The sequence below is a fragment of the Homo sapiens genome, chromosome 3, assembly GCF_000001405.40.
Source record: "Homo sapiens chromosome 3, GRCh38.p14 Primary Assembly".
NCBI classification, from domain to species: Eukaryota; Metazoa; Chordata; class Mammalia; order Primates; family Hominidae; genus Homo; species Homo sapiens.
Window position 1 is genome coordinate 141427833 of NC_000003.12, and position 14095 is coordinate 141441927.

The 14095-nt window shown below is 42.9% G+C and overlaps 1 protein-coding gene across 116 annotated transcripts in view; it reads left to right on the top strand.

The window, feature by feature from the left end:
* The window catches only part of ZBTB38 (zinc finger and BTB domain containing 38), a 125607-nt gene that overhangs the window by 103647 nt on the left and 7865 nt on the right, over positions 1–14095 (top strand). For 24 of the 116 annotated variants that reach the window (NM_001387941.1, NM_001387948.1, NM_001376124.1 and 21 more), the window contains one exon: positions 10436–10533. The exons of 49 other annotated variants lie outside the window; for them this stretch is intronic. Coding sequence is in view for 6 of the 67 variants with exons in the window: in XM_047447843.1 (XP_047303799.1) it covers positions 12659–12781 (123 nt within the window). In the remaining 61 variants the exon portion in view is untranslated. Of the gene's footprint in view, positions 1–1675; positions 1832–4319; positions 4412–8254; positions 8425–9595; positions 9754–10410; positions 12782–14095 lie in introns of all 116 variants that reach the window. 43 more of the 116 variants (NM_001387947.1, NM_001376123.1, NM_001387945.1 and 40 more) reach the window with 12 other exon arrangements.

Sequence of the window (14095 nt, forward strand, 5' to 3'; positions counted from 1 at the left end):
TCCTTGTGGTGGGGGAGGGGAGGCAAATGAAAACCCATCTTCCTGAGGCATTTACTTTAGATTAGCAAATCCTGGCTGTGCCAGTGTTTTCTGGGCTGTGGGGCAGACACAGATTAATTACATGTCAGGCGGCACCTGGAAAATGCCTACCGGACAGCTGTTGTACACCTGGCCAGCCATGAAGGATCCCAGGCCCAAGGCCCACCACCCAGCAATGCTCAGATCATCCTGGCAACTGCCACCCGGGATCAAGGGGCTGCATGCCTTAACTGCCATCCTCGGCTGCCCTGCTTGGAGACCTCTCTGGCACATTCCTTGTTCTCTCTGTGATTTCTTGGCATATGACTCAGGCTGGTTGCCCCCAACTGCCCAACCTCTTGAATCCCATTCTGGGTCTTTTCCAGCTGCCAGCTTCTTCCATGGGGATCTTGTATAACAAGCCTGCAGTTTGGACTCACTGCTGGGCCCTTTTGTGCCATATAGAACAAGTCACCTGCTCTGACTTAATTACTGCTGTATGTGTACACATTCATGTGAGGCAAGTCACTTCTCCAGGCTCAGTTACCACATCTGTACTATGAGCATGTTAATAATACTAGCTTCCATATTGAGCACTAACTGTTAATTCATTGAATCCTGTGAGTACATACTAGTATTTGCATTTTTTTTTTAGACGGAGTTTTGCTCTGTTGTCGCCCAGGCTGGAGTACAGTGGCACAATCTCAGCTCACTGCAACCTTCACCTCCGGGGTTCAAGCGATTCTCCTGTCCCAGCCTCCCGAGTAGCTGGGATTACAGGCGCCTGCTAATATTTTGTATTTTTAGTAGAGACGGGGTTTCACCATGTTGGTCAGGCTTGTCTCAAACTCCTGACCTCAGATGATCCTCCTGCCTCGGCCTCCCAAAGTGCTGGGATTACAGACGTGAGCCAAGGCGCCCGGCCAGTATTTCCATTTTTTATGTGCCGGCCTCCACAGGATTGTGGAAGTGATTAAATTAATTAATATGCAAAGTGCTTTGCAACTTGAAATTTATCTGATAAAAGCAATTTTATTCAATATTGGGGAATTCAGACAGATGAAAATTGTAATTGGCAATATTTATGGTGACCATCCTCATGTAATGTTGATTTATAAACATATATCTTTTTATAGTATAGATTGTTCCTTTTGTAAATGAATACTGAGGGCCTGTTCTGTGTCAGGCACTGTTCCAGGTGCTTAAGATATGTCAGTGAAGAAAATCAAAGATTGGTACTCTTATGGGGCTTACATTTTTGCAAGCAGACAGACAATAAGTAAGTCCATTTTGTATGCAGTATATTGGAATGTTGAGGGCCGTGGAAAAGTCAAAAAGCAGAGCAGGGCAAGGGGGATCGTGAGTACAGGGGAAGGCGGCAGGTTGCCTTTTGGGGGATGGTGAGTGCAGAGGACAGAGGCATATTGCTTTTTGCGGGGATTGTGAGTGCGGGGGACGGCGGCAGGTTGCCTTTTGGGGGATCGTGAGTGCAGGGGATGGCGGCAGGTTGCCTTTTGGGGGATCGTGAGTGCAGGGAATGGTGGCAGCTTGCTTTTTTGGGGATCGTGAGTGCAGGAGACAGCAGCAGGTTGCTTTTTTTAGTCGGGGTGAGCCTGGTTTGTGTTTCAAATGCATGGTCATGTCACTTACTCGCCAGACATTTACTGCGTGCTCCTGCCATGTGCTGCGGCCTGGAGATACAGCAGTGAACAGTGAGCAGCCTAGAGAAGCAGCTCCTCCTGGAGCTTACTTTCTGGCGGGCAGAGTGGACAGTAAACAAGCAGGCAACGACGGGTGATAATTGCAGGTTGAGGTAAGCAGTATGAAGAAATAAACAAGGTGATGTGAGGGCAAACCAAAGGGGCAGCAGATAGAGAGATGGGGTGGCCCCTCCGAGGCGACATTTGAGCTGGGCCTGAAGCACGAGTCTGAGCCAGCCATGGGCAGTGCCGGAACCGTGTGCATCAAAGGCCACAGGGCCAGAAGAGACTGGGCAGGTAGAGTCCGCCCAGGGAGCCTGTGTGCCTGAGCAAAGGCAGCGCAAGGAGTGCAGTGGGAGGGAACGAGTGAGTCTGGAGAGTGGACAGCACAGGGCCTTGCTGGGCACTGGGAAGGGTCTGATTTTATCCTAAGATCAGGGGAAGTCCGCTGAAGGGCTTTGAGCAGGGCTTGACTTGATCTCATTTGTGGGTTTGTTTTTTCGTTTTTTGTTTTGTTTTGTTTTGTTTTTTTGAGACAGAGTTTCGCTCTTGTCACCCAGGCTGGAGTGCAATGGTGTGATCTTGGCTCACTGCAACCTCTGCCTCCTGGGTTCAAGTGATTCTCCTGCCTCAGCCTCCCGAGTAGCTGGGATTACAGGCATGCACTACCACACCCGGCTAATTTTTTTTGTACTTAGTAGAGATGGGGTTTTGCCATGTTGGTCAGGGTGGCCTTGAACTCCTGACCTCAGGTGATCCACCTGCCTCAGCCTCCCAGAGTGCTGGGATTACAGGCATGAGCCACCACGCCCGGCCTCATTTGTAGTTTTTAAAGATCACCCTACATACTGGATGAAGGATAAGCCGCATGAGCAGTTCCTCCATAGCCACCAATTAGGCAGATGCAGTCAGTTCTCAAGCTAATTCCAGCTGACATTTCTTGAACCCCCTGCCAGGTGCCATGGACCACACTTGGTGCTTTTCAGGCGCATCATCTCATTCACTCTTCACTGCCCAGTTTCTGATTTATCCAGGAAGTACCAATGTAAGCTGTGATTCACTGTCTTGCAGGAGAACCCAGAAACCCAGGGTGCAGAGGGGCAGGGAGTGGGGAGCGGCAGTGCAGTGGGGGAGGCGGATTTAGATTTAACACCAGAGCAGCAGCTGGTGCCTCGTCCATTTTAGGACAACTCATTCTTGTGATTAGCTGGAGGTTCACTCTTCTTCAGAAGCCAGAATGTAAACGGCTCTTCCCTGTGCCGTCCCCCAGAGGTAGCAATCAACTGAGAGGTACAGAGCCACCTTCCATTCAATCAGCCAGCCCTTTGGGTTCACAAGGAAATGACGGTTGGCTTTTGAAACCAATTCTTGATAAGCTCACCCCTAAAATGAAAATTTTCAGGGAACAGGAACCCTGTCCTGGGGAACTCTGGGACACATCATTCCCCACAGCATTCAGATTAAAAATACCTTCTATTAATACATTTTGGGGCCAGGCACGGTGGCTCACACCTGTAATCCCAACACTTTGGGAGGCCGAGGCAGGAGGATCATCTGAGGTCAGGAGCTTGAGACCAGCCTGACCAACATGGTGAAACCCCGTCTCTACTAAAAATACAAAAATTAGCCGGGCATGGTGGCAGGTGCCTGTAATCCCAGCTACTCCGGAGGCTGAGGCAGGAGAATCGCTTGAACCCAGGATGTGGAGATTGCAGTGAGTCGAGATTGTGCCATTGCACTCCAGCCTGGGGGACAAGAGCGAGACTTCGTCTCAAAAAAAAAAAAAAAAAAATATATATATATATTTGGGGGGGACTCTGAGTGTCAGTGGAATTTGGGTAAAACAAGAAATAGAGACACGGCACTCAAAAGGCTTCAGAGAGATTCTCTAAGCCTGTTTGCCAGATTTCTTAAGCAAGCAGGTGCCCAGGCAAGCTTGATCCTGAGATGAACCCAAGGCACACGAGCTACCCTGAAACACTGCTGCATTTCAAAAAGAAAAAAGAAACCCAGGACCTTTTCCCCCTTTCATCTTTCCAAACAAGCAACCTAAAATATTTAACTGGGCCCATTGCATCATTCATGAATCTGACAGTACTCGTTCTCACAATCCTATGTGCACGCAACTGCAAGTCCAGGGCCCTAATGTTTACCTTTTCCAGATAATAGGTGAGGTTGTCCAAGCTGGCCTCCCTCTCTGCTGAGTGCACTCCAGCAGCTTCCCGATGTTGGCCTTTAGAACAGCCTGAATTTCAGTTAAAAAATAAGCTTCCCCTGTCACACGATGCCTTCTTGAATCTGATAGCTTAAGTGCAGTAAAATCTGATAAATGTAGCTTTTCTGTGCCCGTTTCAGGCCACATTTAGAAGGCAACATCAACAGGATTTTCCTTTTCCTAGACACAGCTCAACTCCATAAAGGACTTCTGTTTTGTAATCTGTTTTCGAGATCTGATGCGTGTGTTTCTAACACCCCGTCACGTGAGGAGGTCTGACGTAGTCACCCAACATGACTTTGAGAAAATATACTGTAAAGATGTGTGTGGGATGGTACAGCCAGCTCACTGAAGCAAAATATCCTTTGTCGGAAAACTTTCCGCAGGGAATAACAGACCTGCGCAGTAGATTTCACTTTGATATGGCCCCTGTGCTGGCCCAGTATGGACTGCAGGTTTGACTTTTGCAGGATTCCAGGTCAGTATCCTAATACAGTGCGTTCTTTTTTTAGTTAGGTTTTATTTCTACGTTTCTTTTTATAGAAGACAACTTGCCATAGATGGAGGAGAAAGTTGCTCTGTCGATTCTGTTGTTATTATGTACGTTAGGAGCTGCGTGGCCAAGGGCTGGCAAGAGGGCTCTTGGCCTTTTCCTCTGATTAGAAGATTAAAAAAAATGGGGTTCAGTCTGGCCCTGGAGAGTGGCTTTGAATAAGTGACTTGTAGTTCTCACTAAGAATGTGGACTGAAAAGGTTTACTTAACTCTCCTCTCTGTAATGTCTTAGAGCTTTACTAATAAAAATATACCAGATTTTACTAACAAGCCCTATAAAGATCTGCATAATAGGTGCATTAGTTAACAATTTAAAGAGATTTTTCAAGATTCGTTTTGCATTGTAAGAATTAGAGTTTATATGGAAACTATCATTTTAAGTTTTCTTCTGTGCATTTCAGTAAGATCGCCTTAACTAATTGAAGGGAGAGAAGATTTAATTAAGCTGGAAATACTGGGAAGTAGTTAAAGTCAGATTATTGCCAAGAATTGTTTCCCTTATTTTCAAATTCATTCCCAGAATGAGTGAACCAATACTTAAAAGCAATATCCAGGATAGATTACTGTGATCAAGCTAACCTTTGAGACTTGGAAGGCAAGGATGCAAGCAATGATAGATTGATTGTATAAACAAATTGTAGGTAGCAACCTCAAAGAACAATTTTCACCTGTGTATAGTGTGGACCGGACTGTTGGTCCGCCTGGTTTTTCAGCCATGTTCAAACTCAAGAAATAGTCATTGCCTCAAACTTGGAAAATTAAGGACAGGTATGGAGAGTATGCATATCTGCATGACTGTGGGTGTGTCTATGTTTCTGTATTCCTTGGCCTCCATCTGTCTCCTGAGGATTTCTGCTTTGTGTTTCATCACATTTTTATTCACTGTCTCTTTAGTCCTTTTAGGCTTATATATATTTATTTTATTGAGTAAAATAATTTTTAAATAATTTCTTAGAAAAATTATTTAATTAAGATTTTTAATTAAAATTGTTTTGACTTTTGTTTTGTTTTTTTTTGTTTTTTTTGGTTAGCACAGCAGTTCTCAAACTTTTTGGTCCCTAGACTCCCTTACACTCTTACAGTCATTGGGTATGCAAAGAGCTTTTGTTTATCTGAGTTCTTTCTGTCAATATTTACCATATTCAACATTTTAAATGAGAATGTAAAGAACTATTAGATTGATGCAAAAGTAATTGCAGTTTTTGCCACTACTTTTAATTGCACCTACCTAATATTTATTAACTGATGGAAAATGACTGTGATAAATCCAACTGAATAATAAAATAACATTTTATTAAAAGTAACTATTTTTTAAAACAAAAAAATAATGAGAGGACTAGTACTGTTTTACATGTTTGCAAATATTTTAAAGTCTGGCTTGATAGAAAGACAGCTAGATTTTCATCTCTGCTCCTGCCTTCAGCCGTGGTATGCTGTTTTAGTTGAAGTATATAAAGCAAATCCAGCTTCTCACAAATAGGTAGTTGGAAAGGGAAGGAATTTTTTAATAGCCTTTTCAGCTAATTATGGATATTCTTTGATACTATACCAAAACTTGACAAGTGATAATCTCCTAAAAGTGTGTTTTTATTAGTAAATCTTTAAGAGATTGCAGAGAGAACTGTGAAGCAATCCTACATTCTTAGAACTCGAAGGCACTTTCTCAAGGCCGCTCTCTAGGGCCAGTTCCCCTCTGCTCACTCTCAACATCACCAACAACGGATTGTCATGCCTACAGGTGCAGGGAGTACAAAGATGAATCAGATTGTCCCTGTACTCAAGGAGCTCATAGGGAAGATATAAATGTGAACAAATGCATGATACCGTACATTGTAATGATGGGAAACCAAAAACTAGAAATTCCAGAGGAACAAGGCTATGCAGATAAGACATCAACTGAGACAAGAACAAATGAGGATTGCCAGGTAGGGGAACTAGGGACTGGGAGAGAAGGATAATCTTAAGAGGAAAAACAGTTTCTCTCCTAAGGCTTTATTCAGGCAGAATGTAGAAGTCTTCCAAAGTTATAAGAAAAGGGACCTATGACGAGGGAGAGTGTGTGCTGTGTGTGCACTGGGGGGGCGGGGGGAGTATGGTTGTAGGGAGTGGGGAGGCTAGGATGGAGAAGGGGACTTCTGCTTTTTACCTTAATGCATATCTGTGCTGTTTCAGTCTTTGACCATGAGCATAGATTCATTTTCTTTTTCTAAACCTAGGAAATTCTAAAAAGCAAGTGAAGAAAGTTCATTTCAGTCATCAAAAGTATCTAAAGTGCCTCTATTTACATTATATGTATGTGTTTTTATTATATAAGGCTGAAGCATAGCAGGAGACAAAAACAGAAAATTCCAAATATGCTAATTTACTAGAATTTCCCAGTGGCATTTATATAAAGTCTAATTATAAAATATGTTTATCAGATATTTATATAATTCTTAAAAGTACTTTACATATTCGTACAATATACTTTATGTAAATAAACACAAATGTCCTTATAAGTATAATATATAATTTTATATTTAATTTATATAGGCTGGCTGTGGTGGCTCAGGCCTGTAATCCAAGCACTTTGGGAGGCCAAGGTGGGAGGGTCACTTGAGCCCAGGATTTGAGACCAGCCTGGGCAACATAGTGGGACCCCGTCTCTAATAAAAAATTTAGAAATTATCCAAGGATGGTGGCACATGTCTGTTGTCCCAGCTACTGTTGAGGGATGGGGGAAAGCTGAGGTGGAAGGATCACTCAAACCCAGGAGTTCAAGGCTGTGATGAGCCATGACAGCACCACTGCTGTCCGACAGCACTCCAGCCTGGGTGGCAGAGCAAGACCCTGTCTCAAAGAAGAAAAAAGATAATAAAAGTAAAATAATTTATATAGAGATTTGTTTATATATAAAATGCTGGATGACCATTCATCCTGATTTTTTAAGGTATAATCCCAATGTATACCTATTTCCCTGGCATTAGTCTTACCTCCTTTCTCTCTCAAGTGTCCTGTTTTGGATGCTGAATTATATGTTCATCCTATTTCTACATCTGTGCATATAAAATGTATTTAAGTATAATATATGTCAGCATATTTATATATTCATGCTTGTATTTGCACATACATGTGGCTATATACACATGTGTAATATGCATTTTAAAAATATACTTTAGGCCGGGCACGGTGGCTCACGCCTGTAATCCCAGCACTTTGGGAGGCTGAGGTGGTGGGCAGATTACAAGGTCAGGAGTTCAAGACGAGCCTGGCCAACATGGTGAAACCCCGTCTCTACTAAAAATACAAAAATTAGCCAGGCACGGTGGCACACACCTGTAATCCCAGCTACTTGGGAGGCTGAGGCAGAAGAATTGCTTGAACCCTGGAGGCGGAGGTTGTAGTGAGCCAAGATCGCACCACTGCACTCCAGCCTGGGCAACAGAGTAAGACTGCCTCAGAAAAAAAAAAAAACTAAAATAAAAATATATTTTAAAAGCTATTCCAGCTAAAATGCAAACTCAGGAAAATAATGACATTAAAGTCCGATGGCCAGTTATCCAATTACAAATTACTTTATGTTTTTAAAAATATTGACTCATCTACAATTTCATATCTAGAATATTTTTGTTAGCTTTTTTATGCTTATCTATTCCATCTCAGTGAATTTATTGCACAAAACTTGCTTTTTAGAAAATATTTTAGAAAGTTACATGTAAATTAAACCTCATCTTCTTTCTAACTTATATTTCTTTTTCTGAAATCTATTGGGGGCTTTCCATTGGCAGGAGCTCCTAAGACTTCTGTTTTAAGTTACTCTTTATGAAGAAATGTAGTGGAGGAGGTTGCTTTAAAGTAACTTTAAAGTCAACGAATACTGTTTTTGGTGAAAATGACTGTCCCCCTCCCACATGAGCTCTTTTAAAGTCTAAATTTTCATCCTGGGGATATCCTTCAAGTAAGTATGTCTAAGATCTGTGGGTCCAATGTTATTTTACTTACTGTTCTTATCAGTTACACAAACTGAACCTGCCGAAGAGGCCAGGCAGGCCACATTACTGAGAGAAGCTGCCTGGTGATAAATCCTTGGGCAGGCAGTGTGTGTGTGTTGGGGACACAGCCACTTGGCACCAGTCCTTTTTGCCAGGCAGGCTACAACCCCAGTGTTGCCTGGTCTTCCTATTTTTCAAAAAAAGCTATATTGATTTTTTTTGTGTGTGACTGAGTCTTGCTCTGTTGCCTAGGCTGGAATGCAGTGGCGTGATCTCGGCTCACTGCAACCTCCGCCTCCCAGGTTCAAGCGATTCTCCTTCCTCAGCCTCCCGAGTAGCTGGGACTACAGGCACTCACCACCATGCCTGTCTAATTTTTGTATTTTTAATAGAGATAGAGTTTCACCATGTTGGCCAGGCTAGTCTTGAACTCCTGACCTCAAGTGATCCACCCACCTTGGCCTCCCAAAGTGCTGGGATTACAGGCATGAGCCACCGCGCCCAGCCAGCTATCTTGATTTTTATGTTAGAGTTTTTCAACATGGTTAACTAAGATTTTCAAAAACATAGTTTTAAAAATCACATGGGTCAAACAAAACCTGTGGGGACCGGATTTGCTGCATGGCTTACAGTGGGCCTCCTTTGGTCTGCAGATTTAGAACTCATTTCCTTGTTGCACTTTGGACCTGTGAAATAGCTTTTAGCCGTAGCACTTTCTGAGATCATCCAATGAGCTGGATAACTGTGCTCTAAAGACAGTTTTGACGATACTTGGTGGTTTTGGGAGCGGGCACTGTTAAGATTGGAGAGGTGGATACTAGAGTCTTAACTTTAAATTGCTTCTCCAACAAGTTTCACTGCTTTTTTTCAAGTTCCATTCGCAGATTTGGACTCTTTGTTTTAAGCAGTTGCATTGACTCCTGGATTATAAACTTCTTGAGGGCATGAAACTCTGACTCTGTCTCTTTCTGCCTGAAGTTCCCTTTTCTCCTCTTGTCCATATCTGCAGCACTCAATTCCAGCAGCAGGATCCAGTACATACCACGTCCTTCTGCCTCCCTTACTCTCTGTTGAACTCCCATACCTTTTCCCTGCATGCCTGATCCTGGATGTTCCCTGGGTATCTTTGTTTTGCAGTGTTTCATGAGCACATCTTAGTTCCCCTGCCACCCTGCAAACCTTTGAGTGTAGAATTTTTGTTTCTCTTATGGCACTGAGTTTTAGTGTCAGCCCTTAGAACGGTTCTGGCTGGTTGATTAAAAACTACCTGAAATAAGGTGCTCCTCTGGAACAAGGTGGGAAGGAGACTTTCCAATGTTTACTTTGTGTGCTTTTTCAATTTGATAATTATATGTATGTATTACTTATTCACAAGAGAAATTAAGGTATAAAAATACATATGGATTCCAGGGTCTCACTCCAGCTGTTCTAAACCAGAATCTCTATAGGAGCAGGGGAGGTGGAATCTGTAAAGCTGTACTATCTGAATACCTCCCAGGTGATTTTGATGCCTGACCAGGTTTAGGAACCAATGTCTCAAAGCACATAATAGGTATTCAGTAAGCATTCGTTCAAAGGAGGGATGAACGCTTGCCTTTCTTTTTTCTTTTTCTTTTTCTTTTATTTATTTATTTTTTTTGAGATGGAGTCTCGCTCTGTTGCCCAGGCTGGAGTGCAGTGGCGCAATCTTGGCTCACTGCAATCTCTGCCTCCTGGGTTCAAGCAATTCTTCTGCCTCAGCCTCCCGAGTAGCTGGGACTACAGGCGCACGCCACTATGCCCAGCTGATTGAACGCATGTCTTTCTATAGCACTTAGCTGATGCCTTCTGCCTAGCAATTGTTCAATAAATATTTGTTAAGAGAATTAAATTTTGAATTCAGATGCCATCACCACCTCCAACACCCCATCCCACTTTCTTTCTTTTTTTTTTTTCTTTTTTCTTCTTTTGAGACGGAGTTTCGCTCTTGTTGCCCAGGCTGGAGTACAATGGCGCAATCTTGGCTCACCACAACCTCCGCCTCCCGGGTTCAAGCAGTTCTTCTCTCTCAGCCTCCCGAGTAGCTGGGATTACAGGTATGTGCCACCATGCCCGGCTAATTTTGTATTTTGAGAAGAGACGGGGTTTCACCATGTTGGTGAGGCTGGTCATGAACTCCCAACCTCAGGTGATCCACCTGCCTCGGCCTCCCAAAGTGCTGGGATTACAGGCATGAGCCACCACGCCTGGCCCACCCCATCCCACTTTATTAGCTGGGAAGTGGAGTCATCTGTTCTTCCCCAGGCTCTCACTCTGTCTGGGGTGGATAGCTACTTTTTACCTGGACCACTGTGATGGCCTATTGGTCTCCTGCCTGCAGCCTGCCTCCCTCTGAGCCTTTCAGCATACTGCAGGCTGCGTGATTTTTTTTTAAAAAAGCTCAAATTTCATTATAACTCTCAATGGTTCCCTATTCCCTGCAATATAAAATTTAACTGTAGGGAGTCCTTTAGGGCCCTTTATGATCTGGTCTGACCCTTCTTTCCCAAGCTCTCTCATTCAACAGATACATGCTGAGGCCTGCCATGTGCCTGGCCCCACATAGACGCTGTCGACTGGGCTGCACACACTACTCCTGCTACCACTCAGACTCCCTCATTAGCCCCTGAGAACAGTACCCACTTTGATCATTTTTAATTTTTTTTTTTTTTTTGCCTATAGTGTTCCTTCTGCTTACAGCATCCTTCCTATACCCCTGTTTTACTTATTTATGGAAGTAATCCAGGGCCTCTGTAAATAATTGTACTTACTCTTCTAACATTTTATACTTATCTCCAGTATATGGCCTGCCATCATGGATTCCAATGATTAGTTGACAGTTCTCTTTCTTCCCCTAGACTCTGGGCTCCTTGAGAGCAGAGACTTGCCTTCCTCCTGTTCATATCTCCAGTATAACTCTAGCACCCAAGTACTGTGTCTGACCATATTAACATATTTGCTGGATAAAGTTGTTAAAAGGTGTGTCAAGAAGGCAAATCAAGGTGCTACTTATTAACTATGATTTTTAAAGGCTTTCTGACACACAAAGGTAGATATCCCCGCTGAAAAATGTCATGCTTGGATTTTGCAAAGTTATGACAATATTTTAATGACATATATAATGATATTTATTGTATATGTTGTTCTGTTAAGTATGACTACAATATTATTCCATGTTAAGAGTTGGCCTTTTGCTAACCATCCTAGTTGAACAATCTGAGAGAAGAATCAGAACCCCACAGAAGTGGTTGGGGCTTTGTATATTATAAATCTGAGTCAGGACACCCTAGAGTGTTCATTAGCCTGATTTGAAATGCCGTATTCCGCAAATGGAAGCAGAGCCTAAAGGGAGGTTCAGGATGCTGTGAAGCAGAATGTTTTGGAAGAAGCAGTAGTTTTGAACTGGAAAGACAAAATAGATGATGTCAGCATAGACCTAAGCCACCTTTTTGAATCATATAGCATGTGTTTTGTCAGATCTGAAGCTATCTAGTCAGGCTGATAAAGAATTAAAATAACATGTGGGCTTCCAAGAAGCCAAACATGATAAAAATATATGAGTCAGGGGAGAAAGGAGATCCTACAGGGGCCCAGAGCCGAGAGACTTGAAAGAAGGCAAAAGAAACATCAGCAAAGTATGCTATTGATCTGTGACCCAGTGAAGGACAGACTCCTTCACTCCGGGGTCACCCTTTCTCCCTTCAGGGGCAAAGAGGAAGTCATAAGATTCCATTTCATTTCATTCTAGTTTTATTTGTAGAAATAATCCCCCATACTTCTAGAAAAGATTCATGGAAGATTACAGTTAAAGGCAGGGTAAACAAGAGCAGAAGAACTAATGTTAAATAAAGAAAATGAAACAATAGGCACACCAGAAACCCAGGCCAAGAATAGCTACAACAATTGATGATAAAAGTTAGTTCTGAGCTTCTTTGTCTTGAGAATTAAAACAGAAACATGGTGAATATAGTGTTCTCATTATCTGAATTGAAGAATTTGTTAGTAGAAAGGTACTTTTTTCCTATGACTGGATACAATAAAAGAATTTATCAAATGGATCCTTGTATAAAGGACACTAAATAACATAATAGTCACAGCTTATAATAGCAGCTTTACAAAAAGGTAGAGAGGTTCTTTGTGTGGCCATCTGGTCCATCCAACTAAATAAATGCCATGAGCTAAATGTTATACTTTACTGCTAGGAAAACATTGCCACTGAGAGTTAAAGAAGTATCATCAAACTGTAAGGCTTTCTGGAGACGTCTCTTAATACAGAATAGCACAGAGAGACTGGATGAATCTCTGGTTAGTATGTTCTGTAGACCAGAGGGTTTTTTTGTGTGTGTGTTTTGTTTGTTTGTTTTGCTTTACTTTTAACTGCATGTGGTGATCTATTACTGGGTAGTGAAATTAGTGAGTTGCTGTAAGCATTCTTTAAAAGAAAAGGCTGGGTGCAGTGGCTCACACCTGTAATCCCAGCACTTTGGGAGGCTGAGGCGGGCAGATCACGAGGTCAAGAGATCGAGACCATCCTGGCCAACATGGTGAAACCCCGTCTCTACTAAAAATACAAAAATTAGCTGGGCGTGGTGGCATGCACCTGTAGTCCCAGCTACTCGGGAGGCTGAGGCAGGAGAGTCGCTTGAACCCTGGAGCCGGAAGTTGCAGTGAGCTGAGATCATGCCATTGCACTCCAGCCTGGTGACAGAGCGAGACTCAATCTCAAAAAAAAAAAAAAAAAAGAAAAGAAAAAGAAAGAAAAGAAAAATACTAGAGCAGAACAGAATGCATCACACCTAGTAAGGGTGAGTGTTAATTTCATTTGTGTCTTAGGTCACTATGTACTGTGTATCTCTTACTGTGGGAAGTATGAAAGCTGCTACTTTTCACTGCCCCTCACTATAATATCAGTTAGTAAGCTTTAGCACACCAGACTCATGGAATAGGACTTATATAGAGAATATAGAAAATACAGAGAAGAATGGAGATGGGATCCTCAGACCAGAACAAGAGCCACTGTGCCTTGAAGTTGTGCTAATTCAGGAATCTATGACTAGATTCATTCTTGTCCGTTCTTGTCAAAGGACTTAGAAATGTCCTTTCCTGGTTTTACATTTTGTCTCCTTTTTAGTTGCCTTCAGTACCTGACAGTTCTTTTTGAAAACCCTAGTCTACTTTGTCTCTACTAAAGGGGAAACTAGAAAAGGAACCTGATGAGTCACCATAGGGCCAATAGCGCAGAGAGGCGGGGGTGCCCCTGGTGGTCAGACTTGGTTACACACCCTGCAACTCTAGAGATTGACCCTTATGAGCCACAAATTAGGAAGGGCTCCTTCAGTTCTTGCTTCTTCTCTGAGTGGGCAATAGCTTTGCATATAGGTACCACTTAAGGAAAATTCATTTAAAAAAATAGCCTGGGCAACATAGCGAAACCCTGTCTCTACCAACAATACAAAAATTAGCCGGGCGTGGTGGCTCTCACCTGTGGTCCCAGCTATTCAGGAAGCTGAGGTGAGAGAATCGCTTGAGCCGGGGAAGTGGAGGTTGCAGTGAGCGGAGACCACACCACTGCACTCCAGCCTGGGCAACAGAGCGAGACTTTGTCTCAAAAAAAAAAAA